Raw genomic sequence first — 24439 nt, 5'->3', positions numbered from 1 at the left:
GACCATCTGCTTCACTGGACAGGGGACTAAGTGAAGGAGCAAGTGGGACTATAGGCCCCCAGCCTTCCCCAAGCTGAGGGGCCTTTCTTCTTGCTCTGCTGCAGGCTACTCCTCGTCTGATGGAGCCTTACTACTTTGTAGAGGTCCAGGCCCCTGCAGATTGCGTCTCTGCAGTTTATACCGTCCTGGCCAGGCGCAGGTGAGCGGCCCCAGGCGTATTAGGGAGAGTGCTGAGAGCAAGAGCAGAACAAGAGTCACCTCGGCTCCTACAGGGAAGAGAGGTTGGCCTTCTCTACCCTCCTCTCTCTGGAAACCCCGAGAGCTGATTTTCCAGAAAGAAGTAGGAGCGGAGGGAGGCAAGCCCCCGCTTTTCTGCAGATTAAAATTTGACATTTCTCCATCCTGGCTAACACAGTGAAACCCCGTCTCTACTAAAAATACAAAAAATTAGCTGGGCGTGGTGGCGGGTGCCTGTAGTCCCAGCTACTTGGGAGGCTGAGTCAGGAGAATGGCGTGAACCCAGGAGGCGGAGCTTGCAGTGAGCCGAGATGGCGCCACTGCATTCCAGCCTGGGCGACAGAGCAAGGCTCTGTCTCAAAAAAAAAAAATTGACATTTCTTTTGGGATCCCCTCCTCACAGAGCTGTTGGAGGCAGTGCTGAGGCAAGTCAGTGATGGGAATGTCTTTGGGCCCTTGTCCCTTCACCATCCCACTCCTGTCCTCTGCCCAGAGGTTGCTGCCACTTTGACTTCCACAGGGAATTATACTGAGAGCCCTGAGCCTTTTCTGCTTTTTGTAGAACATTCTTGGTTACTCTTTCTTTGATGGTAACTCTGGGCTGGAATGCATTTGGGGGACAGCAAATGCTGGATTGCTTCTTGGCTTTTGGCCTATGTTTGACTAGAGGCTCAGCCTTTGTTTTTCTGTCTCAGGGGGCACGTGACTCAGGATGCACCCATCCCAGGCTCCCCTCTGTACACCATCAAAGCTTTTATCCCGGCCATCGACTCTTTTGGCTTTGAGACTGATCTCCGGACTCACACCCAGGGACAAGCCTTTTCTCTGTCTGTCTTCCACCACTGGCAGGTGAGAAAGCAATGCAGGCTGGCGGACTTGGCTTCCCACCTCTGCAAGCCTCATCCCCTTCTGTCCTGATCCCTCTCCAAGCCCTAAGTGAGGTGTACAGCATCCTGGAGAAGAGTCCTCCTCTGGGGAGCATATATTCAGGGCAACTTGAATCTGTGTCTCTCAGTTTAAAAAAAAAAAAAGAAATAATAGGGCCGGCTATGGTGGTTCACACCTGTAATCCCAGCACTTTGGGAGGCTGAGGCGGGCAGGTCACCTGAGGTCAGGAGTTCGAGACCAGCTTGACCAACATGCAGAAACCCCATCTGTACTAAAAATATAAAATTAGCTAGGCGTGGTGGTGCATGCCTGTAATCCCAGCTACTTGGGAGGCTGAGGTAGGAGAATCGCTTGAACCCGGGAGGCGGAGGTTGCATTGAGCCGAGATCATGCCATTGTACTCCAGCCTGGGAGACAAGAGCGAAACTCCATCTCAAAAAAATAATAATAAGTAATAAATTTAGGAATAAAATAAATAAGAAGAGTCCTGCTTCTGGGCCTGAATCTTCTGGGAATTCTGCCTGGGCCATCTGAAATTCCTTTGCCTTTTAGATTGTGCCTGGTGATCCCCTGGACAAGAGCATTGTCATCCGCCCCTTGGAGCCACAGCCAGCTCCTCACCTGGCCCGGGAATTCATGATCAAAACCCGCCGTAGGAAGGTATGTCTCCCTTGGGCCTGTTGCCATCCCTCAACCCCCCAGGACTCTCAGAAGCAGGATCTCTCTCTCTTTCTTTTGGCCCCTTTTCCTAAGGGACACTTTTCCAATGTAGAGATATGATCTGTATACTCCTTAGGCAACCAAACCTGGGCCCCAGTCTCGTTGGGAAAGGAGAGCCTTATCCTCCCATGTGATAGTACCCTAAAGGCAGGGCTCCTGAAACACCACCACCTACATTCCAGCCACCACTAGCCTCCCCACTGAACACAGGTCTTGGATAGTCTCCTTGCTTAGTCTGCGACCACCTCGGGCTTTCTTATATTTGCCCCATTCCCTGCAGGGCCTCAGTGAAGATGTGAGCATCAGCAAATTCTTCGATGATCCTATGTTGCTGGAACTTGCCAAACAGGATGTTGTGCTCAATTACCCCATGTGAGTGCGTGGACTCCTGGGAGCTCCTGCTCCCTACAGTGGGCTGCAACTCCTGTACTTGAAGCTGAGACCTCATATGACGTGGCCTTCGTGTTGTCAGAGAGTGTCTGGAAGCTGCTGTTGCCATCTTGAACAACTCACCAACCTCCAACCCAGAGCCCCAGTGAGAGAGGAGCATTTGGCCTCCTGCTTCCTTCTGTGGCCTCTGCCGGGCTCCATTCCCAAGGAAAAGAGAGGAGCTTGGGCTCACAGAAAGAGAAGGGGATGAAACCCCAAGGGGCCCTATCTTTGGGATTTACATGGAATTTTATTTTCTACAAGTTTGACCTTAGCCATGGTTTGCAAGTGAACAGAACATTCTGACCTCTGTCTTGCTCTGCTCCTTTCATCCTCGTCTCCCCTGCCCCGTCTGGTGCTTACATTCTGAATATATGTCATCTCCCAAGAGGCTTCACTGCCTCTGCTTCCAGCTGCAGCCTCCTTCCTGCCTGGGTCCCCAGGGAAGCCGCCTGCCTTTTAATTCAGTGTTCCCATGAGCGCCAAGGCCCCATTATTGCCCCCTTGCTCCCACTCCATGCTGCTTCTGGGTGGAACCTAAGATGGCTTGGGAGTTGTTGGGTTCCTGCGATCAGAAGTCTACCCCACCACCTCCTCAGGAAACTGCTGCCTCCCCTAAGAATCTTCCTTGCCCTGGAGTAGGGGGCCAGAGCACTTTGATTTCCAGCCATTTACTCCAAGTCCTCTCCCCAGCTACCACCAGTCCCTTACTCTGTTCTCCCCCAGTGAAAAAGAGTCTGTTGATTTTCCTCAAAACTGCTTTATTAGGAATGTACCAGGGATTGAGTTAGGGGAGTTGGACAGCCCCGGCTCCTATAGGAGTCCTACTTCTCTCCAGCATCCTGTGCCATCCTCTTGACGTAATCGCTGTACATTGTGTACACAGCACCTGTGTGAGAGAAAAGAAATAATGCCCCTTGGCATCAAACCCTTCACCCGTCCTCTGGCTCTCAGGCGTCCTAGGGGTTCACCTCTAGCTGCTCCCTTGAGAGTCCAGCTTCCCGCTCATCTTTCTGCCCCAGGTCCCAACAGCTGCTTCAAGCATCTGACCACACAACCTGGGGAAACCACTTATCTGACAGTTCACGAAACACTTTCACATGTATTGTGTATCTGAGAAACCTCACAGCAGCCTGCAAGGTAGGCAGGCCAGGGGTGGTTATTGTCATGTTACACATCAGGAAACTGAGGCTCAGTGAGAAAGATTTGTCCACTGTCACACAGTTAGCAAGTGGCTGTCTGCTTTTTAATCTCAAGAGGAAGAGAAATTCAACATCTGTTCTGTTGCATGATTTTTCTCACCCCTAGGGCAAACTGTCATGAGACACTGTCCCCACAGGCCTGGGACAGGAGCCTAAACAGGGAAGATGGCTCAGTATAGGGGCTTCACCAAGCATGTGATGTGGAGCCCAGAACAGGAGAACTTAATTCACAGTCCTTTTTTTTTTTTTTTTTTTTTTTTGAGACAGAGTCTCACTCTGTCACCCGGGCTGGAGTGCAGTGGCGGATCTCAGCCCACTGTAGCCTCCGCCTCCCAGGTTCAAGCAATTCTCCTGCCGAAGCCTCCAGAGTAGCTGGGACTAAAGGCACCTGCCGCCACGCCCAGCTAATTTTTGTATTTTTAGTAGATATGGGGTTTCACCATGTTGGCCAGGATGGTCTCTCTCTCCAGACCTCATGATCTGCCCGCCTTGGCCTCCCAAAGTGTTGAGATTACAGGCGTGAACCACCGCGCCCAGCCAAGCACAGTCCTTTTAATTGTTGGGACTTAAAGACCTACAAACTGCATAATCGGTTTTGCCCTCATTCTGCGACCCCACAAAGCTACTCACCTAGCATGATTGCACCCACTGCACAGGCCTGCGCTGCCACTCGGGTGTGAATCAGGTGTATGGACATCTTGGTGGAACCACGAGACCTCAGCCGGTAAATCCTGTATGCTGCTACCACCAAGCAGCCTCCTAAGCCTGTGGGCAGAGAACACAGCCCCTGGGCCACAGCCACAATGCACAGCACTCCCCTGATGAGAGATACCTTACCAGGCAGGCTGGGCATCTGGATAAACAGCTGGTTTTATGCAGCATCTGGTGGCGGGGGGTGGGCGTTGCGGGGGACCTAGGGGGATCATTAGAATATTGAGTTGTTGCCGGGGCATGGTGGCTCACGCCTGTAATCCCAGCACTTTTGGGAGACTGAGGCAGGTGGATCACCTGAAGTTGGGAGTTTGAGACCAGCCTGACCAAAATGGAGAAACCCAGTCTCTACTAAAAGTACAAAATTAGCCGGGCGTGGTGGTGCATGCCTATAATCCCAACTACTCAGGAGGCTGATGCAGGAGAACCACTTGAACCCAGGAGGCAGGGGTTGTGGTGAACCGAGACTGTGCCATTGCACTCCAGCCTGGGCAACGAGTGAAACTCCATCTCAAAAATATATATATATATATTGAGTTGTTGCCCTTCAATGGCATTTTCAAAGTGGCTGCCTCCCTCCCGTGACACCCCTCCCCCATATACAAATAGCTGATCACCACCAGTGATGCCCCTCCCCCAGATACAAATAGCTGATCACCACGACACAGCCCCTCCCCACCAATTTGCTCCGCCCTGGGCCCTTGAGCCACACTGCTGGCTCCCACCTCCTGGTACAGCTGTTTTCCTACTCTACCAGGGCCATAAGGAAGGAAGCCCTGGGGGACCCCAAGGTGTTCTTCTGACCCTTCCCACTTTGGTGTTGGTGCTCCAGGTTCCTCATATCCCATGTACTCAGTTGGCTGCCACCTCCACCCATCCAGACGTCCTGATTTCATTGTAAGGGTTTGCCCCTTGGCACCTTTGCTGTTGTTTCCCTTGTTCCGTGAGTAGGACCACTTGAGTTTTCTGACCTCTGCTTCATTCTCTTTGGAGGGTACCAGGAGACATGACAGAGAAGGCCTCCTACTCGGCACCCCATTCCTTTCTTCACTTACCTATAGGCACCAGTGGAGATTCCCGAGTCTTCCTCAGGAGCTTCTCAGACACACAGTCTTCGTCGTCAGGTGGTACCCACCAGCGTCTGTTAGCAGACATAATCCTGGACCTGGATGTAAGCAGCTGAGACTCCTATGCTGCAGCCCCGTCCTAGAGAGAGGCACTCCACAATCAGAACTCTGATTCCTCAGTCTGGAGAGGAAAGGAAGGTTACCTGCTAAGACCCTCTCTCACCATGCCCCAACACAGCCTCTACTTGAAAAGATGTCCCTCCCAGGTATCCCATCTCAGGTGGCTGGGCCATTAGTGCCATTTCTCCGTCTCCATTTCCTACCATCTGCCTCTTCCCCAGCTCATTCTGTCTTCACTGCTTTCTCAGCTTCCCCTTCCCCCATCTGCATCCCTATGGGTGTGATCCTTGGGCCAAGAAAAACAGCTGGAAAAGTCCACAGATGGTGGTGGGAGAAACAGTCCTTGAGTGCTGGGGCCCCCGCTGGCCTTTGGTCTGTGATGGTTTCTCCTGTGGGAGCTACAGAGCAGGATCTGGCCCCAGGGAGCCAGAAATGTCCTAGACCAGATAGTGTAACAGCATTAGTTACCAAATTGCCAGAGATTATAATGATTGGACATTGATTTGCATGTAATTTAGCATATATTTTGCACATGAGTACTAAGGAACACATTCTGGTTCCTGAGCTGCTCCTGTTTTTCCAGGTCCATCTCTTTCCAGGCAGGTTCTTCACAATTACCAACTGGCTACCTTCATCCCTGGGCTGGAAACAAGGGTTCTGCCAATGGGATGCCTTCTTTTTGAGACGGAGTCTCGCTCTGTCGCCCAGGCCGGACTGCGGACTGCAGTGGCGCAATCTCGGCTCACTGCAAGCTCCGCTTCCCGGGTTCACGCCATTCTCCTGCCTCAGCCTCCCGAGTAGCTGGGACTACAGGCGCCCGCCACCGCGCCCGGCTAATTTTTTGTATTTTTAGTAGAGACGGGGTTTCACCTTGTTAGCCAGGATGGTCTCGATCTCCTGACCTCATGATCCACCTGCCTCGGCCTCCCAAAGTGCTGGGATTACAGGCGTGAGCCACCGCGCCCGGCCCTTTTTTGTTTTTTTGAGACGGAGTTTCGCTCTGTAGCCCAGGCTGGAGTGCAGTGGTGCCATCTCGGCTCACTGCAACCTCCGCCTCCCAGGTCCTGGTTGAAGCAATTCTGCCTCAGCCTCCCAAGTAGCTGGGATTACAGGTGTGTACCATGCCCAGCTAATTTTTTGTATTTTTTTAGTAGAGACGGGGTCTTACCCTGATAGCCAGGCTGGTCTTGAACTCCTGACCTCTTGATCCGCCCACCTCGGCTTCCCAAAGTGCAGGGATTACAGGTATGAGCCACCGTGCCCTGTCCAATGGGATACCTTCTAAGCCTAACCATACGGCAAACTCTCTTTTCTTTTTCTTCTTTTTTTTTTTTTTTAGGCAGGGTCTCACTTTGTCACTCAGGCTGGAGTGCAGTGTCAATCCCTGCAAGCTTGACCCTCCAGACTCAAGCAGTCCTTCCACCTCAGCCTCTCAAGTAGCTGGGACTACAGGTGCATGCTACCACGCTCAGCTAATTTTTGTATTTTTTGTAGAGACAGTTTTGCCATGTCGCCCAGCCAATCTTGAACTCCTGGTCTCAGGCGATCTGCCCACCTCAGCCTCCCAAAGTTCTGGGATTACAGGCATGAACCACTGTGCCTGCCCTTGAGTCAGCTTCTATCCTAGTTAGCCCTCCTCTCCTGGAGGAGCAAGGACTGGTGGCCCCCCAGGTCGTTGGCATGCTGGTGCTTACCCTAAGAGATGGCTAGAACGAGGAGAACGGGCGGCCAGGCCAGGGCTCAGCGTCTGCTGTTTTGAACCGACCAAAAGCTGAGATGGAGCTGCCACTATGGGGTCAGGGAAGCAGTGACTTGGGCTTTATGAAAACTTTGAAGTCAGGGATGGAGAGGGGAGGGGAAAGGACAGGGGATCGGTCTTAACCCCCAGTCTGCTGAGTCCCAAGCCAAAGCTCCAGGCACTGGAAAGTAAGGAAAGACCAAATGGAGGGGAGCCCCTAACTAGATTCAGTCTTTTAATTCCCATGGAATTAAGTGGCTGGATCAGAGACAGGCTTGATGAGGAGAACGGAGATGGAGATACAGGAACAAGGATGAGTAGAAAGCCTGGGTCCCCCAAGTTACACTCCCTCGGATACTCTTATGAACAATGTGGGATGTAAATAAAATACCCTAGTTGTGAGAGACAGACTCTCTAGGCTGTCTTTTGGTTTGGGATTTTTTTTTTTTTCCGAGATGGAGTCTTGCTCTGTCACCTAGGCTGGAGTGCAGTGGCACGATCTCGGCTCACTGTAACCTCCGCTCCCAGGTTCAAGTGATTCTCCTGCCTCAGCCTCCCGAGTAGCTGGGATTACAGGCATGTGCCACCATACCCAGCTAATTTTTTTATTTTTAGTAGAGGCGGGGTTTCACCATGTTGGCCGGGCTGGTCTCGAAATCCTGACCTTGTGATCCACCCGGCTCAGCCTCCCAAAGTGCTGGGATTACAAGCATGAGCCACCACACCCAGCTAGTTTTTGGGGTTTTTTGTTTTGTTTTGTTTTTGAGATGGGGTCTCCCTCTGTCACCCAGGCTGTGTGATCTTGGCTCACTGCAGCCTCATACTCCCAGGCTCAAGCAACCCTCCCATCTCAGCCTCCTAAATAGCTGGGACCACGGGCACATACCACCACACTTGGCTCATTTTTGTATTTTTGGTAGAGACAGTTTTACCATGTTACCCTGGCTGGTCTCAGAACTGGCCTCCCAAAGTACTGGGATTAAAGGTGGAAGCTACAGGGCCCAGCTTCCAGAACTCTTTATACTACCTATGGGGTGATGCTCACTCAGGTTGCAGGGATGACAGTGATCAGGATTAGGGCTCTTCTGTACTCAGTATATTTCTTTCTTTTTTTTTTTTTTTTTGAGACGGAGTTTCACTCTTGTTGCCCAGGCTGGAGTGCAATGGCATGATCTCAGCTCACTGCAATCTCTGCCTCCCGGGTTCAAGTGATTGTCCTGCTTCAGCCTCCCGAGTAGCTGGGATTACAGGCGCCTGCCACCATGCCCAGCTAATTTTTGTGTTTTTAGTAGAGATGGGGTTTCATCATGTTGGCCAGGCTGGTCTCCAACTCCTGACCTCAGGTGATCCGCCCACCTCGGCCTCCCAAAGTGCTGGGATTACAGGCATAAGCCACTGTGCCCAGCCCTGTACTCAGCATATTTCAAAACTCTCAGCTATTCTATATGGTAAGTAGCAGTTTGTTCACAAAGGAATGGAGCTTCAGAGAGGCTTAATGACTTACCTGAGGATACACAGCTAGTACATGGCAGTTTTGTCATCTGAACCCAGGTCAGGCTGGCTCAAGTGTTTGCACTCCTAACTGCAATACTAACCTCCAGGGGGCTGGTTAAACGGAAGCCCTTTCCAGATGAATACTGAAGCTTAGGAATGCTAGTATATCCTGGCACCCTTGTTTAGGAGAAGAAAAAGTATGTGCTAAGCAAATGGAAAAAGATAGGGTGTGCTAGGGAGATCCCACTCTATCCCAGGCCTTTGTTTCTTCCCTAGATTACTCAGCCCTGTGTGTTTATCCTAAAGGGGCTCTGCAGCACTGGAAATTTGTTTGGCAGATGATGTCCTTTTTTCTCCCCAGCATTCACTGCTCTAGGCAGAGACCCAGGGTCACAGCAACTCCCCAGGGCCTTCACATGTCCCCAGTGTCCATGGGAACTCTCCTCCCAGCCTTTCACACACACCCTCCTTTGCTGCCTCTCCAGGTTCCAGCAGTGGCCTGAATTCTCAGGAGATGGATGGTATATTCCCTTACTGGTCTAGGCCAGAAAAAGGGGGATGAAAATGTCTGGATAAGACAGGGCAGGAAACAGGATCAACTCCAAGTCCTTTGAAGAACAGGAGCCAAACCACGGATAGTGAAGTTCAGCTTCTCCCTACTGAAATGATGGTGATGTTCCCACAGCATCTCAGCTGTGGGAATAATAATAATTCCCACAGCTGAGAAATAATAATAATTGCTGTGATTTACTGAGCACCTTCTATGGGCCAAGCAGTGTGCTAATTGCTTTGTTTTTGTTTTGTTTTGTTTTGAGACAGAGTCTCACTCTGTCACCCAGGCTGGAGTGTGGTGGTAATCAAAGCACACTGCAGCCTTGAACTCTTGGGCTCAAGGGATCCTCCAGCCTCAGCTTCCTGAGTAGCTGGGATTACAGGCACATGCCACCACGCCTGGCTAATTTTTGTATTTTTAGTAAAGATGGGGTTTCACCCTGTTGGCTAGGCTGGTGTCGAACTCCTGGCCTCAAAGTGATCCACCCACCTCGGCCTCCCAAAGTGCTGGGAATATAGGCGTGAGCCACCATGCCCGGCCTCCTTTGTGTAGATTAATTCTCACGATAGCAATGAGGTAGGTGCTATTATTATCCGCACTTCACAGGCAAAAAACTGGGGCTCCATTAAGCGTTTTGCCCAACAGTAAGTGACAGAAAAAAGACCAGACTTCTAACTCACTACTCAGGACTAACTTGAGAGAATGTAAAGTGGAGGGCAAATCTTGAAATAGAAGAAGTAAAATTGCTTTGTATTTCAAAAACTTCTGAGAACATACAGTAACTAAAAAAAACTTCAAGGAACAGATTTTTGTAGAGTCCTGCTTTAGTAAACAGATAAGATAAAATTATGATAGCATCATTTTTGTGAACATGCCGAGTCTTTAATGTTTTCCATTTATGCATTGCTACATTAGTAATTTGTTTAGGAGACCTCTTTTTCTTCCAAATCAGGTCACATCAATAGAAATTCTGATTTAGAGGGGCCTAAATCAATGATGCGGACAGACTTAGCATAGGCAAAAGTCAGACGTGGGATCAGTTAGCCCACAGACCAACCACTCTAAATATTGGGTTATGCCATTTAATCTCTTAGAGTCTTTGGCTTCATTGGTAAAATCAAGATAGCACCTGCCCATAGGATGATCGCAAGGGTTAAAAGAGAATTGTTAGAATTCTGCTAACTCCTGCTGCTCCTCTTCCTCCAGGAGCAAGTGGCAGGGAATGGGTAGCAGGCTGGGGGAAAAGCGGAGAGTCCCTGACAACAGATGGCAAAGTTACCATATTCTGTGTGGTTCCGAATTCAGCACAGCTTTTCTCATTCCCTTCCCCCGGACCCCCTCCTTCTTGGGCTTGCCCACCCTAACTGGAAGCTTTAGGCTTGTTCTCCCTGTTGTGTTAAAGGGGAAGGGATGGGGGGAAGGGGGACTAAGTCTTAAAGCTCTCAACACGATCTAAGGCACAGCTATGCTATTTATAGCCCAAGGGAGCGAGTGACTGGGAGGGGAGGGACAAGCAGCTTTTGCCTTGAGCTAATGGGAGCTGTAAGTGAGGGCATGATGGAGAATAGACTAGGGGACAGAGGATGCTCCTAGTTGGGGTTGGAATGGGAAGAAATGGGGTTGAAAGGCTGGGAGAATCAGAGGGGAGAAAACATTAGGGGATATAGTTGTGTCTGGGGCACTTGAAGGGTAAGGAGTGGAGTAACAGGAACAGGCAGTGGAAGTTTCTAGATAATATGGCTAGGCTGAGGCCGCTTCCTGGTGGAGGCTGTCTGTAACACCCCCACCCCCCACCCCCCACCCTTTTATAAACAGGCATTGAGTTCCAAGGACCTCCTAGCATTTGTCCAAGGACAGCCCCAAGGGCCACAGGCCTGAAGCCAGAAAGTACCTTTGGTATCCAATAATCTTTCTGAGAAGACTTCACATATTTTTTAATTTAATTTTTTTTTTTTTCTGAGACAGAGTCTCACTCTGTCGCCCAGGCTGGAGTGCAGTGGTGCTCACTGCAACCTCCACCTCCCGGCTTCAAGCAATTCTCCTGCCTCAGCCTCCCGAGTAGCTGGGACTACCCAGCTAGTTTTTGTCTTTTTGGGTAGAGACGGTCACCATGTTGGCCAGTGTGGTCTTGAACTCCTGATCTCAGGTGATCCACCCGGCTTGGCCTCCCAAAGTGCTGGGATTACAGGCATGAGCCACCACACCTGGCCAAAAGAACTTTTTTGACAACAAAAAAATCTGGTTCAGTCAACATCCCTGTGGGCAGGGGCAGGGAGAAGCAGTATAATGTGTCCCACAGGTTAACTGAAACTGCTGGGATTAGTGGAGAGGGAGGGTGGTGTTTCCCACTAATACCTCTCTCCCATTAGCAGGAGTAATCAATAACTTCTCTCTCTTTTTTTTTTTTTTTTTTTTTTGAGATAGAGTCTCACACTGTCACCCAGGCGGGAGTGCAGTGGCGTGATCTCAGCTCACTGCAACCTCCGCCTCCTGGGTTCACGTGATTCTCCTGCTTCAGCCTTCCAAGTAGCTGGGATTACAGGTGCATACCACCACACCCAGCTAATTTTTTTCAATTTTTAGCAGAGATGGGGTTTCACTATATTGGACAGACTGGTCTCGAACTCCTGACCTCGTGATCCACCAACCTCCGCCTCCCAGAGTGCTGGGATTACAGGCATGAGGCACCGCGCCTGGCAAGACTAATCAATAACTTCTTTAACAGTTCTTACTATCCAGCCAGTCTGGGGCAGGCAGGACTCCCCTGTTCCCAACAAGCAGCATTCTCAAAACTTTTTCTGGGCCGGGCTCAGTGGCTCATGAGCGCCTGTTATCCTAGCACTTTGGGAAGCTGAGGCGGGTGGATTGCCTGAGCTCAGGAGTTCGAGACCAGCCTGGAGAACAGTGAAACCCCATCTCTACTAAAAATACAAAAAATTAGCCAAGCGTGGCAGTGTGCGCCTGTAATCCCAGCTACTCAGGAGTCTGAGGCAGGAGAATCGCTTGAACCCAGGAGGCAGAGGTTGCAGTGAGCCGAGATCCACCATTGCACTCCAGACTGGGTGACACAGTGAGACTCCATCTCAAAAAAAAAAAAAAATTTACCTCTCTGGGCCTCTTTCCATCTTTCAAGACAGAAGAATCTGCTCTGAGTTTACCAGCCAAGTGGGGACCCTGGAAAGTGTGTAATGGAAATAGTGACACATTGCAGCCTTCAGATTGACCCTACTGTTCCCAAACCACAGAGCCCCAGGGCGACTCTCAAGTTCTCAAATTGGGTTTTGATCCTTTCCTGCCTGAGCCCCATGTGGATTAAAAGTGATGTGGTTCTCATAGCACCCAGCTGTACCACTCTCTGCCAAAGGCTGGAAATGAGATCCATTTCCCTGTTTGAAACTTACAGCTTTTTTCCCCTTCCCTCCAGCAGTGGTCTTTCTTCTTCTAGGGATGGTGAGCCTTCATTCACTTATTCACTCAGCATATACTTCCTAAGTACCTACAATTTGCTGGCCTCTGTTCCAGGAGCTGGGACACAGTGCCCCTGCCTTCGGGGAGCTCACGTTGTAGCAGACACCCTGGTTTGCTCCATATCCTGGCGAATGCCTGGGCCCAAGAGCCTCTACCCTGGAATTCTGACCTCAGTTTCCCCACCAGTAATGGGATTAAAGGAAATCACTAGCTGCCAAGGTGGTAGAGGAGAGAAAGAAGTCTTGACTAGAAGACAAGAGCCTTAGGTTATATTTTAGGTTTTGGGGTTTTTTGGGGGTTTTTTGTTTGTTTGTTTGTTTGTTTTTGAGACAGGGCCTTGCTCTGCTCTGTTGCCTAGGCTAGAGTACAGCCCCAGGCTAGAGTGCAGCCTCAACTTCCTGTGCTCAAACGATCCTCCCAAGTAGTTGGGACTACAGGTGCAGGCCACAAAACCTGTTCATTTTTACATTTTTTGTAGAGACAGGGTTTCACTAAGTTGCCCAGGCTGGTCTCAAACTCCTGGGCTTAAGCAATCCTCCCACTTTGGCCTCCCGAAGTGCTGAGATTATAAGCGTGAGCCACCGTGGCCAGCCTACTTGTTTTTTAAAGTATCTACAAGTGGCCGGACATGGTGGCTCACGCCTGTAATCCCAACACTTTGGGAGGCTGAGGCGGGTGGATCACCTGAGGTCAGGAGTTCGAAACCAGCCTGGCCAACATGGCGAAATCCTGTCTCTACTAAAAATACAAAATTAGTGGGCGTGGTGGCTCGTGCCTGTAATCCCAGATGTTAGGGAGGCTGAGGCAGGAGAATCGCTTAAACCCAGAAGGTGGAGGTTGCAGTGAGCTGCGATCACGCTATTGCACTCCAGCCTGGGCAACAAGAGCAAAACTCCGTCTCAAAACAAAAAAAGAAACGTTGCTCTATCAGAAGGGAGACAGAGCTGCAGGCTTGGTGGCTTGGTAATAAGGTAACAAATTAGAAAGTAGATGTATTGCCCGGTGCGGTGGCTCACGCCTGTAATCCCAGCAATTTGGGAGGCCAAGGTGGGCGGATCATGAGGTCAGGAGATCGAGACCATCCTGGCTAACACGGTGAAACCCCATCTCTACTAAAAATACAAAAAATTAGCCAGGCATGGTGGCGGGCACCTGTAGTCCCAGCTACTCCCGAGGCTGAGGCAGGAGAATGGCATGAACCCGGGAGACGGAGCTTGCAATGAGCCGAGATCGCGCCACTGCACTCCAGCCTGGGCAAGAGAGTGAGACTCCGTCTCAAAAAAAAAAAAAAAAGGAAAGTAAATGAATGTATTGTTCCCAATCTCTAGGAAGAAAGAATACGCAATGCATTTTGGGAGGGGGAGGCAGGAGGATTGACTGAGCTCAGGAGTTCGAGACCAGCCTGGGCAACATAGGGATACCTTGTCTCTACTAAAAATAAAAAAAATTAGCCCGGCATGGTGGCGCATGCCTGTAGTTCCAGCTACTCGGAAGGCTGAGGTGGGAGGATCATTTGAGCCTAGGCAGTTGAGGCTGTGGTGAGCTGTGATCACGCTGCTGCAACCAGCCTGGGCAACAGAGTGAGACCCTGTCTCAAAGAAAACAAAAAGTAAAAGAAAAAAAAAATAGGCAACAATAAAAGATGGGGAGTTTTCCCTTCCAGATTCATTCATGAATCTATGGGAAAATAATACCTAATGAACATTTGTATATATAAAAATACATTTATATATTTATAGTTTTATATATATATATATACACACACACACACACACACATATATATATATAATCAAATGTTTTAATACCATTTTAAAGGTTTTTTTTGAGACAGTCTCCCTCTCTTGCCAGGCTAGAGTGCAGTGGTGTGATCTCGGCTCGCTGCAACCAACCTCTGCCTCCTGGGTTCAAGCCATTTTCCTGCCTCAGCCTCCCAAGTAGCTGAGACTACAGGCATGCACCACCATGCCTGACTAACTTTTTTGTATTTTTAGTAGACAGGGTTTTGCTGTGTTGGCCAGGCTGGTCTTGAACTCCTGAGCTCATGTGATACACCCGCCTTGGCCTCCCAAAGTGCTGGGATTATAGGCATGAGCCACTGTGCCTGACCTTAAAGGTTTTTTTTTTATTGAGACGGAGTCTCGCTCTGCCACCCAGGCTGGCTCACTGCAAGCTCCACCTCCCGGGTTCACGCCATTCTCTTGCCTCAGCCTCCCCAGTAGCTGGGACTACAGGCGTCCGCCACCACACTCGGCTAATTTTTTTTGTATTTTTAGTAGAGACAGGGTTTCACCGTGTTAGCCAGGATGGTCTCAATCTCCTGACCTTGTGATCTGCCTACCTCGGCCTCCCAAAGTGCTGGGATTACAGTCATGAGCCACCACGTCCGGCCTAAAGGTTTTCATTTGTCTTAATATGCCACAGAAAAGCACACCATCAAAAGTATGCAGCTCAGCCAGGCGTGGTGGCTCATGCGTGTGATCCCAGCACTTTGGGAGGGGGGGCAGCGGTGGGGCAGGGGGAAGATCACTTCTGGCCAACATGGTGAAACCCTGTATTTACTAAAAATACAAAAATTAGCCGGGTGTGGTGGCACACACCTGTAATCAAGCTACTCAGGAGGCTAAGACAGGAGAATCAGTTGAACCCGGGAGATGGAGGTTGCAGTGATCCGAGATGGTGCCACTGCACTCCAGCCTGGGTGACAGAGTGAGACTCTGTCTCAAGAAAACAAACAGGCCAGGCTCGGTGGCTCATGCCTGTAATCCCATCACTCTGAGAGGCTGAGGCAGGTGGATCACCTGAGGTCAGGAGTTTGAGACCATCCTGGCCAACATGGTGAAACCTCGTCTACTAACAATACAAAAATTAGTCAGGTGTGGTGGTGCGCACCTGTAGCCCCCAGCTACTCAGGAGCCCGAAGCAGGATAATAGCTTGAACCTGGGAGGCGGAGGTTGCAGTGAGCTGAGATTGCGCCATTGCACTCCAACCTGGGCGATAGAATGAGAATCCATCTCAAAAAAAAAAAAAAAAAAAAGAAGAAGAAAAAGAAAACAAATCAACCAAGTATGCAGGTCAGTGTACTAACTGAACACACCTGTGTATTCAGCGCCCAGCTCAAGAACAGTGAACTGCCTGAAGAGTTCATCTTGCCCGCTACCCAGAAAAGCTGATGCACTGCAAACAGCAGGTTTTCCCAATAGAGAAAGAGTTTAATGAATGTAGAGGTGGCTACATGAGAGACTAGAGTTTATTACTCAAATCAGTCTCCCCCAAAATTCAGAGACTAGGGTTTTTTAAGGATAATTTGGCGGGCAGGGGGCTAGGGAGTGGGGAATGCTGATGGTTGGGTTGGGGATGAAATCATAGGGGGTTGAAGCTGTCTTCCATTCCTGGGTGGCATCCAGAACTAGTTGAGCCAGTTTACTGATCTGGGTGGCACCAGCTGGTGCCTCAGAATGCAGGATCTGAAAAAATATCTCATACCAATCTCAGGATTTTTTTTTTTTTGAGACAGGCTGTCACTCTATCACCCAGGCTGGAGTACAGTGTGTGATCATGGCTCACTGCAGCCTCAGCCTCCCTGGGCTTAGGAGATCCTCCCTGCTCTGCCTCCCAAGTATCTGGGACTACAGATGTGTGCCACCACGCCCAGCTACATCTTTTTTTTTTTTTTTTTTAGTAAAAACAGGGTTTCACCATATTGCCCAAGCTGGTCTCGAACTCCTGGGCCCATGTGCTCCACTCACCCTACCCTCTCAAAGCGTTGGGATTACAGTCGTGAGCCACCATGCTGGCCAATATCGGGTTTTATAATAGTAATGTCATCCATAGGAGCAAAGGAGCAATTGGAGAGGTTAGGAATCTTTTTTTTTTTTTTTTTGAGACAGAGTCTCACTCTGTCACCCAGGCTGGAGTGCAGTGGCGCCATCTTGGCTCACTGCAAGCTCCACCTCCCGGGTTCACGCCATTCTCCTGCCTCAGCCTCCCGAGTAGCTGGGACCACAAGCGCCCGCCACCACGCCCGGCTAATTTTTTGTATTTTTAGTAGAGACGGGGTTTCACCTTGTTAGTCAGGATGGTCTCGATCTCCTGACCTCGTGATCCACCCACCTCGGCCTCCCAAAGTTCTGGGATTACAGGCGTGAGCCACCGTGCCCGGCTGAGGTTAGGAATCTCATGGCCTCTGGCTGCATGACTCCTGAGCCCTAATTTCTAATTTTTTTTTTTTGTTTTGAGATGGAGTTTCACTCTTGTTGCCCAGGCTGGAGTGCAACGGTGCGGTCTCGGCTCACCGCAACCTCTGCCTCCCGGGTTCAATCGATTCTCCTGCCTCAGCCTCCCGGGTAGCTGGGATTATAGGCATGCGCCACCACGCCCAGCTAATTTTTTTGTATTTTCAGTAGAGGCAGGGTTTCTCCATGTTGGTCAGGCTGGTCTTGAACTCCTGACCTCAGGTGATCCGCCTGCCTCGGCCTCCCAAAGTGCTCCGATTACAGGTGTGAGCCACCGGCCTGGCCCCTAATTTCTAATCTTATAGCTGATTTGCTAGTTCTACAAAGGCAGTCTGGTCCCCAGGCAGAAGGGATTTATTTTGGGAAGGGACTCTTATCGTCTTTGTTTCCAAATTAAATTATAAAGTCAATTCCTCCCATGGAGAACTCAGCCTATTCCCAGGAATGAACAAGGGCAGCTTGGAGGTTAAAAGTAAGATGGAGTCGGTTAGGTCAGATCTCTTTCACTGTTGTAATTTTCCTGTGTCAGATTTTTCTTTTTGTTGTTGTTTTTTGAGACAGTCTCTCTCTGTTGCCCAGGCTAGAGTGCAGTGGCGAGATCTTTGCTTACTGCAACCTCCGCCTCCTGGGTTCAAGCAATTCTCGTGCCAAGTAGCTGGGATTGCAGGCATGTGCAACCACTCCCGGCTACTTCTTTTGTATTTTATTTTATTTTATTTTATTTATGTATTTATTTATTTAAGACAGAGTCTTGCTCTGTCACCCAGGCTGGAGTGCAATGGCGCAATCTTGGCTCACTGCAACCTCCACCTCCTGGGTTCAAGCAGTTCTCCTGCCTCAGCCTCCCGAGTAGCTGAGATTACAGGCATCCACCACCACGCCCGGCTAATTTTTTGTATTTTTAGTAGAGATGGGGTTTCACCATGTTGTCCAGGCTGGTCTCGAACTCCTGACCTTAGGTGATCCACCACCTCAGCCTCCCAAAATGCTTGGGATTACAGGCATGAGCCACCGTCCCCAGCCTGTGTCAGATTTTTCTCACTGTCATGATTTTTGCAAAGGCAGTTTCAACAGAACAAGGCCAGCCCCCCAAAAACCCCTCATGCTCCTTTCCAGTAACTATCCTGCCTGCCAAGTAACCACTATCCTTCCTTACTTCTCTCTTTCTTTTTTTTTTTTTTTTGAGACAGAGTCTTACTCTGTCACCCAGGCTGGAGTACAGTGGCGGGAGCTTGGCTCACTGCAACCTCTGCCTCCTGGGTTCAAGCAGTTCTCACAGACGCATGCCACCACACCCAGCTAATTTTTGTATTTTTAGTAGAGACAGAGTTTCACCATATTGGTCAGGCTGGTCTCGAACTCCTGACCTCAGGTGATCCACCTGCCTCATCCTCCCAAAATGCTGGGATTACAGGTGTGAGGCACTGTGCCCAGCCCACTATCCTTCTAATTTTTTTTTTGAGACCAAGTCTTGCTCTGTCCCCAGGCTGGAGTGCAGTGGCGCAATCTCGGCTCACTGCAACCTCCAACTCAGCCTCCCAAGTAGCAGGGATTACAGGCTCACACCACCACGCCCAGCTAATTTTTTGTATTTTTAGTAGAAATGGGGTTTCACCATGTTAGCCAGGCTGGTCTCAAACTTCTGACCTCAGGTGATCCACCTGCCTCACCCTCCCAAAGTGCTGGGATCATAGGCGTGAGCCACTGTGCCCAGCCCACTGGCCTTACTTCTTCTTTTTTTGAGACGGAGCCTTGCTCTATACCCAGGCTGGAGTGCAGTGGCACAATCTCCACTCACTGTAACCTCCAACTCCCTGGTTCAAGCAATTCTCGTCTCAGCCTCCGGAGTAGCTGGGATTACAGGCATGCGCCACCACGCCCAGCTAATTTTTGTATTTTTAGTAGAGACGGGGTTTAGTGCTGGGATTACAGGCGTGAGCCACTGCACCTTACTACTTCTTTTTTTTTTTTTTTTGAGTTTTGCTCTTGTTGCCCCAAGCTGCAGTGCAATGGCATGATCTCAGCTCACTGCAACCTCTGCCTCCCAGGTTCAAGCAATTCTCCTGCCTCAGCCTCCTGAGTAGCTGGGATTACAGGCATGCGCCACCACACCCATCTAATTTTTTGTATTTTTAGTAGAAATGGGTTTTCACCATGTTAGCCAGGCTGGTCTTGAACTCCTGACCTTAGGTGATCTGCTCCCCTCGGCCTCCCAGAGTGCTGGGATTACAGGCGTGAGCCACCGCGCCTGGCCAACTGTCCCTACTTCTAACGGCATGGATTAGTTTTGCTTGTTTTTTTTTTTTGTTGTTGTTGTTTTGTTTTTTTTTAAACGCGGTCTTGCTCTGTAACCCAGGCTGGAGTGCAGTGGTGCAGTGGTTCAGTGGCACAATCACAGCTCACTGCAGCCTCAACTTCCCCAGCTCAAGTGATCTTCCCACCTCACCACCTCAGCCTCTGGAGTAGCTGAGACTCCAGGCACATGCAACCATGCCTGGCTAATTTTTGTATTTTTTGTAGAGGTAAGGTTTTGCCATGTTGCTAAGGCTGGTCTTGAACTACTGAGCTCAAGTGATCCGCCCACCTTGGCCTCCCTAAGCGCTGGGATAACAGGCATGAGCCACAGCACCTGGCCAGTTTTGTCTGTTTTTGAAGTTTTTGTAAATGAAAACTTTTGTGAGATCCATCTTATGTGTAAATGTAGATTGTTCATTTTCATTGCAGCATAATGTACGTAACACAATTTAGCCATTCTACGGTTGACAGGCATTTTGGGTAGTTTCTAGTTTTTTGACTTATTATAAATAGTGCTGCTATGAATACTCTAGTACAAGTATTTTGGTGAACATTTGTACACATTTTCGTGGAATTGCCATGGAATTCCAAAGGCATAGTGTATTCATAGGTTCAGCTTTAGTAGTGTAGTGGCGGAAAGGTGTGACACCTTTCCTCATCCATCATAAGGATCACAGCTGACACTCCTATAACAAAACCCAGATTAACAAGAGAAGGGCATAACCAAGTTATTTAACCAAAGTTTTATGTAACACAAGAGACTTCGGAAATTAAGACCTCAAAGGGCCGAGTGCGGTGGCTCACACCTGTAATCCCAGCACTTTGGGAGGCCTAGGCGGGTGGATCACGAGGTCAGGAGTTCAAGACCAGCCTCACCAACATAGTGAAAACCAGTCTCTACTAAAAATACAAAAAAAATTAGCCGGGCGTGGTGGTGTGCGCCTGTAGTCCCAGCTGCTTGGGAGGCTGAGGCATGAGAATCAGTTGAACCTGGGAGGCGGAGGTTGCAGTGAGCCGAGATCATGCCACTGCACTCCAGCCTGGGTGATGGAGAGAGACCCGGTCTCTCTCTCTCTCTCTCTCACACACACACACACACACACACACACACACCCTCAATACCCTAGAACAATTGTTTTTATGCTTAGGTTCAATGCAGAATGGACAAGCAGAATGTGATCAGACAAAAGGGGTATGATCTAATTTAACAGACTGAGCGGGGAACCCAACAAGGCTTGTCGGTTCAAATTCTTCTTGGCTTCCCAGTGTAACATTCCTTCCTCCAGGGTATTCCTTCCTGGTTCCTCTGGAATGAGGGTCTTCAAGGGGGAGGAGAGAAGGGGGAGAGTGACCTTTCTGGTTTTATGGCTTGCTTTGGGGGAGAGGGGTTCTAGTTTCTATGACCCGCCTTGGGGAAGAGGAATTTTTATTTCTATGACTCGCTTCAGGGGAGAAAGGGGCGGGAGACAGGAGGGCAGGAGAAGGTCAGAGAGAGACTTTGCTTCTGAGGCCTTCCAATCTCCTTTAGTTCAAAGCACTCAGCACGCCAAAGCTCCATACTTTGGGATATTGTTTTCTTTCTTTCTTTTTTAAAGAGATGGGGTCTCGCTCTGTCTTCCAGGCTGGAGTGTAGTGGCATAATCATAGCCCACTGCAGTTTCCTGAGTAGCTGGGACTACAGCCACCACGCCCTGGGAAATCATTTTCTGAGCCTCAACAGTAGATATTGCCAGTTTTGCAAAGTCCGCTGGGCACGGTGGCTCATGTCTGTAATCCCAGCTCTTTGGGAGGCCAAGGCGGGCAGATCACTTGAGGTCAGGATTTGAGACCAGCCTGGCCAACATGGTGAAACCCCCTTTCTACTAAAAATACAAAAATTAGCCAGGCATGATGGCGGGCACCTGTATTCCCAGCTACTCCGGAGGCTGAGGTAGTAGAATCTTTTGAACCTGGGAGGCGGACATCGCAGTGAGCCGAGATCACCCCACTGCACTCCAGCGTGGGCGACAGAGTGAGACTCTGTTGCAAAAACAACAACAAAGTGATTTAGGCCAGGCACGGTGGCTCATGCCTGTAATCCCAGCACTTTGGGAGGCCGAGGCAGGCGGATCACAAGGTCAGGAGATCGAGACCATCCTGGCCAACATGGTGAAACCCTGTCTCTACTAAAAATACAAAAATTAGTTGGGCGTGGTTGCGTGCGCCTGTAGTCCCAGCTACTCGGGAGGCTGAGGCAGGAGAATTGCTTGAACCGGGGAGGTGGAGCTTGCAGTGAGCCTAGATGGCGCCCACTGCACTCCAGCCTGGCGACAGAGTGAGACTCTCCCTCAAAACAAAACAAAACAAAAAAGTTATTTGTACTAGTTTACAGTTGCAGGCTGTGAGAATTTTAATATTTTATTCAACAGGTACAATGATGTTGTTTCCTGTGTTATTTTAGTTACATGCTATTTATTATTTCCAGGTATTTTCAGAGTTTTCACCCTGGTCATTTTATTTTTTTCACTTATTTTTTTGAGACAGGGTCTCACTCTGTCGCTCAGGCTGGAGTGCAGTGGCGCTATCTCAGCTTACTGCAGCCTTGACCTCCCGGGCTCAAGCGATCCTCCCACCTCATGCTTGGAGTAGCTAGGATCACAGGTGCGCGTCACCACACCCGGCTAATTTTTGTATTTTTTGTAGAGATGGGGGTTTTGCCATATTGTCCAGGCTGGTCTGGAACCCCAGGGCTCAAGCAATCCGCCTGCCTAGGCCTCCCAAAGTGCTGGAATTACAGGCGTGAGCCACCGCGCCCATCCCACACTTGTCATTTTAAATACATCTGTAGAGAGGCAATGTGATAAGGCGTGGGGACAGACTACAGCAATCACAGGGAGAAGTACTTAAATGCTCCGAGGCCAAGCAGGTCATGAAATGATTTAAGCAGCTGAGTGGGGACATTGCCTACCCGGACAAGGTGACTCAAGAGGAGCTGCCATGTGAAAAGAGAAGCTCAAAGTAAGCAGCTTTTGACTTTTTAGGGAGGCCAGAAATCTGGATTTTAATATTTTGGTAACTAATTCATATTTTTGGAAAACATACTGGCCACACAAAACTGGTCAGTGCATTAGATGCCTAGCCTTCAAGATTTCCACTCTGGGGCTACCCCTTAGGGCTTGGCTTTGGGTGGGGGAGTTTGACTTGCAGCAAGTAACCTCACTTGTTAGCGCTTAATTTCCCCTCTGGTCAAAAGGGCAAAATAATAAAAGCCTGTCCATCGGCATTCTGATGCTCAGATGAGATCATTCCAGAGGTCGCCCATCTCTTTACTGAGCCTTCCTTTATTACCCAAAGTCTTACTCTACTTAAAGCATTTGGAGAATTTTCGGTTTCCTACTGGGCATTTTAAAACTGGGGATTCCTATGCATGAAAATTTTTCCCAAGTCCTCTGAATGGGATCCTGCTGGGATGCAAAGAGTTAAGAGGAAATAGCCTATTAGGGTCTTGCTAATCCGAGAAGTTCAGGACCTGAAAAGTATCTAGAGCACTGCTAAGAGCCCCGACTCTAGCTAGATCCACGCAGGGCCCGCCAGATCCTCGAGGAATTGTAGAGCAGAACCTGGGAGGAGACATTAGCATCCCGTGCTACAATGGACCAAGGCCTCGGCGGAGCGCGCAGAAGACAACTCTGGGCCCGCTAAACCAACCCAGGATACCCAGGTAAGGCGAGAACCCACGGCGCCGTTAGCGGCCCGCTCAAACTGAGGCGCGGCTGGCGGGGGACTCTCGCCCGAAAATCAGCTTGGAAGAATGAACTGTCCGGAGCGAAGTCTGCGCCCACCCGGGGTCCAGACTCCACGCGGGTGACTCCCACGCGCGCCGCGCCTCCGCCGCGTCCCGGACTATCCGAGAGAGCGGCGAGGACTCGACCGCGGAAAGTTGGCGCTCGCGTCGCTTCCCGCGCGTTCTGGGGCGCCCCCCTCCCACTCGAGCGCCACGTGCCGCGCGCCCCCCGCTCCCGGGCCGCGGCGGGACGCCCCCGCCCCCACCGCAGCGCGCAGTGCGCAGGCGCCTTCCCGCGGGTCGCGGCGGCGGGAGCGGGAGGCGGCGGCGGCGGCGGCAGCGGCGGGAGCGGCTTCTGCCTCGGCTGGAGACTGAGGCGAAGGCGGCAGCGGCGGAGGAGGTGGAGGAGAGGCGAGGGTGAAGGCGATGGCGACGCGGGGCACATGAGGCCGCGACCGGCGGGACGGGCCGAGGCCCGGCGGAGGAGGCGGCTCCGGGGGAACCCGCCGCCGGGTGAGGGGCGGCCGCAGGGCCGGCTGAGGAGAAGCGGGCCAGGGGCGGGGTCCCAGGGGGAGGCGGGAGAACTCTTGGGGAGCCCGGGGAGGGGCCGAGGAGAACCTCCGGAGGTCCGGGGAGGAGCGCGGCCAGAGCGGGAGAAGGAGGGGGGCGCCGCCGAGGGGTTCCCGCCGAGTCCGGAGGGGCGTCGCCGGCCCGCGTCCTGCCACTGTCCCCGGCGCACCCTCCCTCTTTGTCCCCAGGCGCGCGGCTCCCAAATCGGGAGGGAAACGGCTCGGGGGTGTCCTGGGCCGCGGAGGTGTCGGGCGACGGTCGGGGAGCCCGGACAGAAGCGGCGCGCACTCGGCGGCGCCCCGGCGGTGCCGACAACTACCCGGGCGGTTAGGGGCGCAGGGCGGAGCCGGGCCGCCCCTCGCCGCCCGGGCTCTTCGCGGGCTGCTCTTTGTCTCCCCGACCTCGATCCCTGCGTCTCCGGCGGCGTGCGGGCTCGTCTGAGGCTTCCCGCATCTCCCCGCTGGAACTCCTGCCTCCCGGGGGTTAGAGGAGGGTTCGTTCGAGGGCTGGAAGCGGGAAAGCGGGGCGGAAGGACTGGGCTCATCGCCTCCTGATTAACTCGTTGTCTTTACTTAAAATGACTTTTCCCCCACTTTGTCAAACTTGAGAACTGTTTTGTGTGTGTGTGTGTTTCCTTAAGTCTCTAGCTTCAAAATTAAGAGTAGGCGCTACCGCTGTGATTGTGGGCAGTTGTGTGGTTGGCGGCTGCGTTTGGAGCTCTGAGTTGAAAAGATGTACGTGAATGTATGGTTTAGATTTTGTTCTTTTTTTTGCGATTGTCTGATTGGGAGTACTTTTCCTTTGCGAAATGGGCGAATTTGGTTTTCTTTTTGTTCATTGAGAACTGGCAGTGATACCGATTTCATTATGCTCATGCTTAATTTTGTTAGCATCAAGACGATGTGAAATCGAGTAAGTTAAGTTTGAATAAGTTCAGGCTGAGGGTCAT

The 24439-nt window shown here is 50.8% G+C and overlaps 3 protein-coding genes across 23 annotated transcripts in view, besides 3 other annotated features; 2 read left to right on the top strand and 1 right to left on the bottom strand.

The window, feature by feature from the left end:
• Window positions 1-3547, top strand: part of EFTUD2 (elongation factor Tu GTP binding domain containing 2) — a 49498-nt gene extending 45951 nt beyond the window's left edge. For 4 of the 5 annotated variants that reach the window (NM_001142605.2, NM_001258354.2, NM_004247.4 and 1 more), the window contains 4 exons: window positions 105-199; window positions 933-1086; window positions 1678-1785; window positions 2126-3547. In NM_001142605.2, coding sequence (NP_001136077.1) covers window positions 105-199; window positions 933-1086; window positions 1678-1785; window positions 2126-2221 — 453 coding nt within the window. In that variant the 3' untranslated portion in view covers window positions 2222-3547. Of the gene's footprint in view, window positions 1-104; window positions 200-932; window positions 1087-1677; window positions 1786-2125 lie in introns of those variants that run through there. The other variant, XM_047437084.1, reaches the window with a different exon arrangement.
• Window positions 3019-8635, bottom strand: HIGD1B (HIG1 hypoxia inducible domain family member 1B). Of its 9 annotated transcripts, none has more exons than XM_011524891.3 (4): window positions 8617-8635; window positions 5243-5393; window positions 4107-4241; window positions 3019-3163 (listed from the first exon to the last, which is right to left on the bottom strand). In XM_011524891.3, the coding sequence occupies exons 2-4, from the start codon at window positions 5340-5342 to the stop codon at window positions 3099-3101; spliced, it is 300 nt and encodes a 99-aa protein (XP_011523193.1). In that variant the 5' UTR covers window positions 5343-5393; window positions 8617-8635; the 3' UTR covers window positions 3019-3098. The 9 variants fall into 9 exon arrangements, 8 of the variants coding, with proteins under 8 accessions (XP_011523193.1, XP_016880232.1, NP_001258809.1 ...); XM_017024743.2 differs by having other exon boundaries at window positions 5243-5435; window positions 8617-8632; NM_001271880.2 differs by lacking the exon at window positions 8617-8635 and adding an exon at window positions 7069-7166 and having other exon boundaries at window positions 5243-5435.
• Window positions 21603-22576: an enhancer, noted in NCBI's record as "OCT4-NANOG-H3K27ac-H3K4me1 hESC enhancer chr17:42908287-42909260 (GRCh37/hg19 assembly coordinates)". NCBI's record gives its function as "activates a minimal SCP1, AML or CMV promoter by ChIP-STARR-seq in primed H9 embryonic stem cells {active_cell/tissue: H9 hESC(primed)}" and the evidence as "EXISTENCE:reporter gene assay evidence [ECO:0000049][PMID:30033119]".
• The window catches only part of GJC1 (gap junction protein gamma 1), a 37261-nt gene continuing 34952 nt past the window's right edge, over window positions 22131-24439 (top strand). For 3 of the 9 annotated variants that reach the window (XR_934346.4, XM_024450527.2, NM_001080383.2), the window contains exon 1: window positions 22661-22857. The gene's annotated coding sequence lies outside the window, so the exon portion shown is untranslated. Of the gene's footprint in view, window positions 22155-22660; window positions 22858-23207; window positions 23434-23670; window positions 23984-24439 lie in introns of those variants that run through there. The other 6 variants (XM_047435078.1, NM_005497.4, XR_007065255.1 and 3 more) reach the window with 4 other exon arrangements.
• Window positions 22577-23550: an enhancer, noted in NCBI's record as "OCT4-NANOG-H3K27ac hESC enhancer chr17:42907313-42908286 (GRCh37/hg19 assembly coordinates)". NCBI's record gives its function as "activates a minimal SCP1, AML or CMV promoter by ChIP-STARR-seq in naive and primed H9 embryonic stem cells {active_cell/tissue: H9 hESC(naive and primed)}" and the evidence as "EXISTENCE:reporter gene assay evidence [ECO:0000049][PMID:30033119]".
• Window positions 23606-23895: a silencer, noted in NCBI's record as "silent region_8602". NCBI's record gives its function as "represses an Ori minimal core promoter by ATAC-STARR-seq in GM12878 lymphoblastoid cells {active_cell/tissue: GM12878}" and the evidence as "EXISTENCE:reporter gene assay evidence [ECO:0000049][PMID:35858748]".

This window comes from Homo sapiens, chromosome 17 (assembly GCF_000001405.40).
Source record: "Homo sapiens chromosome 17, GRCh38.p14 Primary Assembly".
Lineage (NCBI taxonomy): Eukaryota > Metazoa > Chordata > Mammalia > Primates > Hominidae > Homo > Homo sapiens.
Note: the sequence above shows the minus strand (reverse complement) of the source record. Positions and strands in the feature narration are given on the sequence as shown.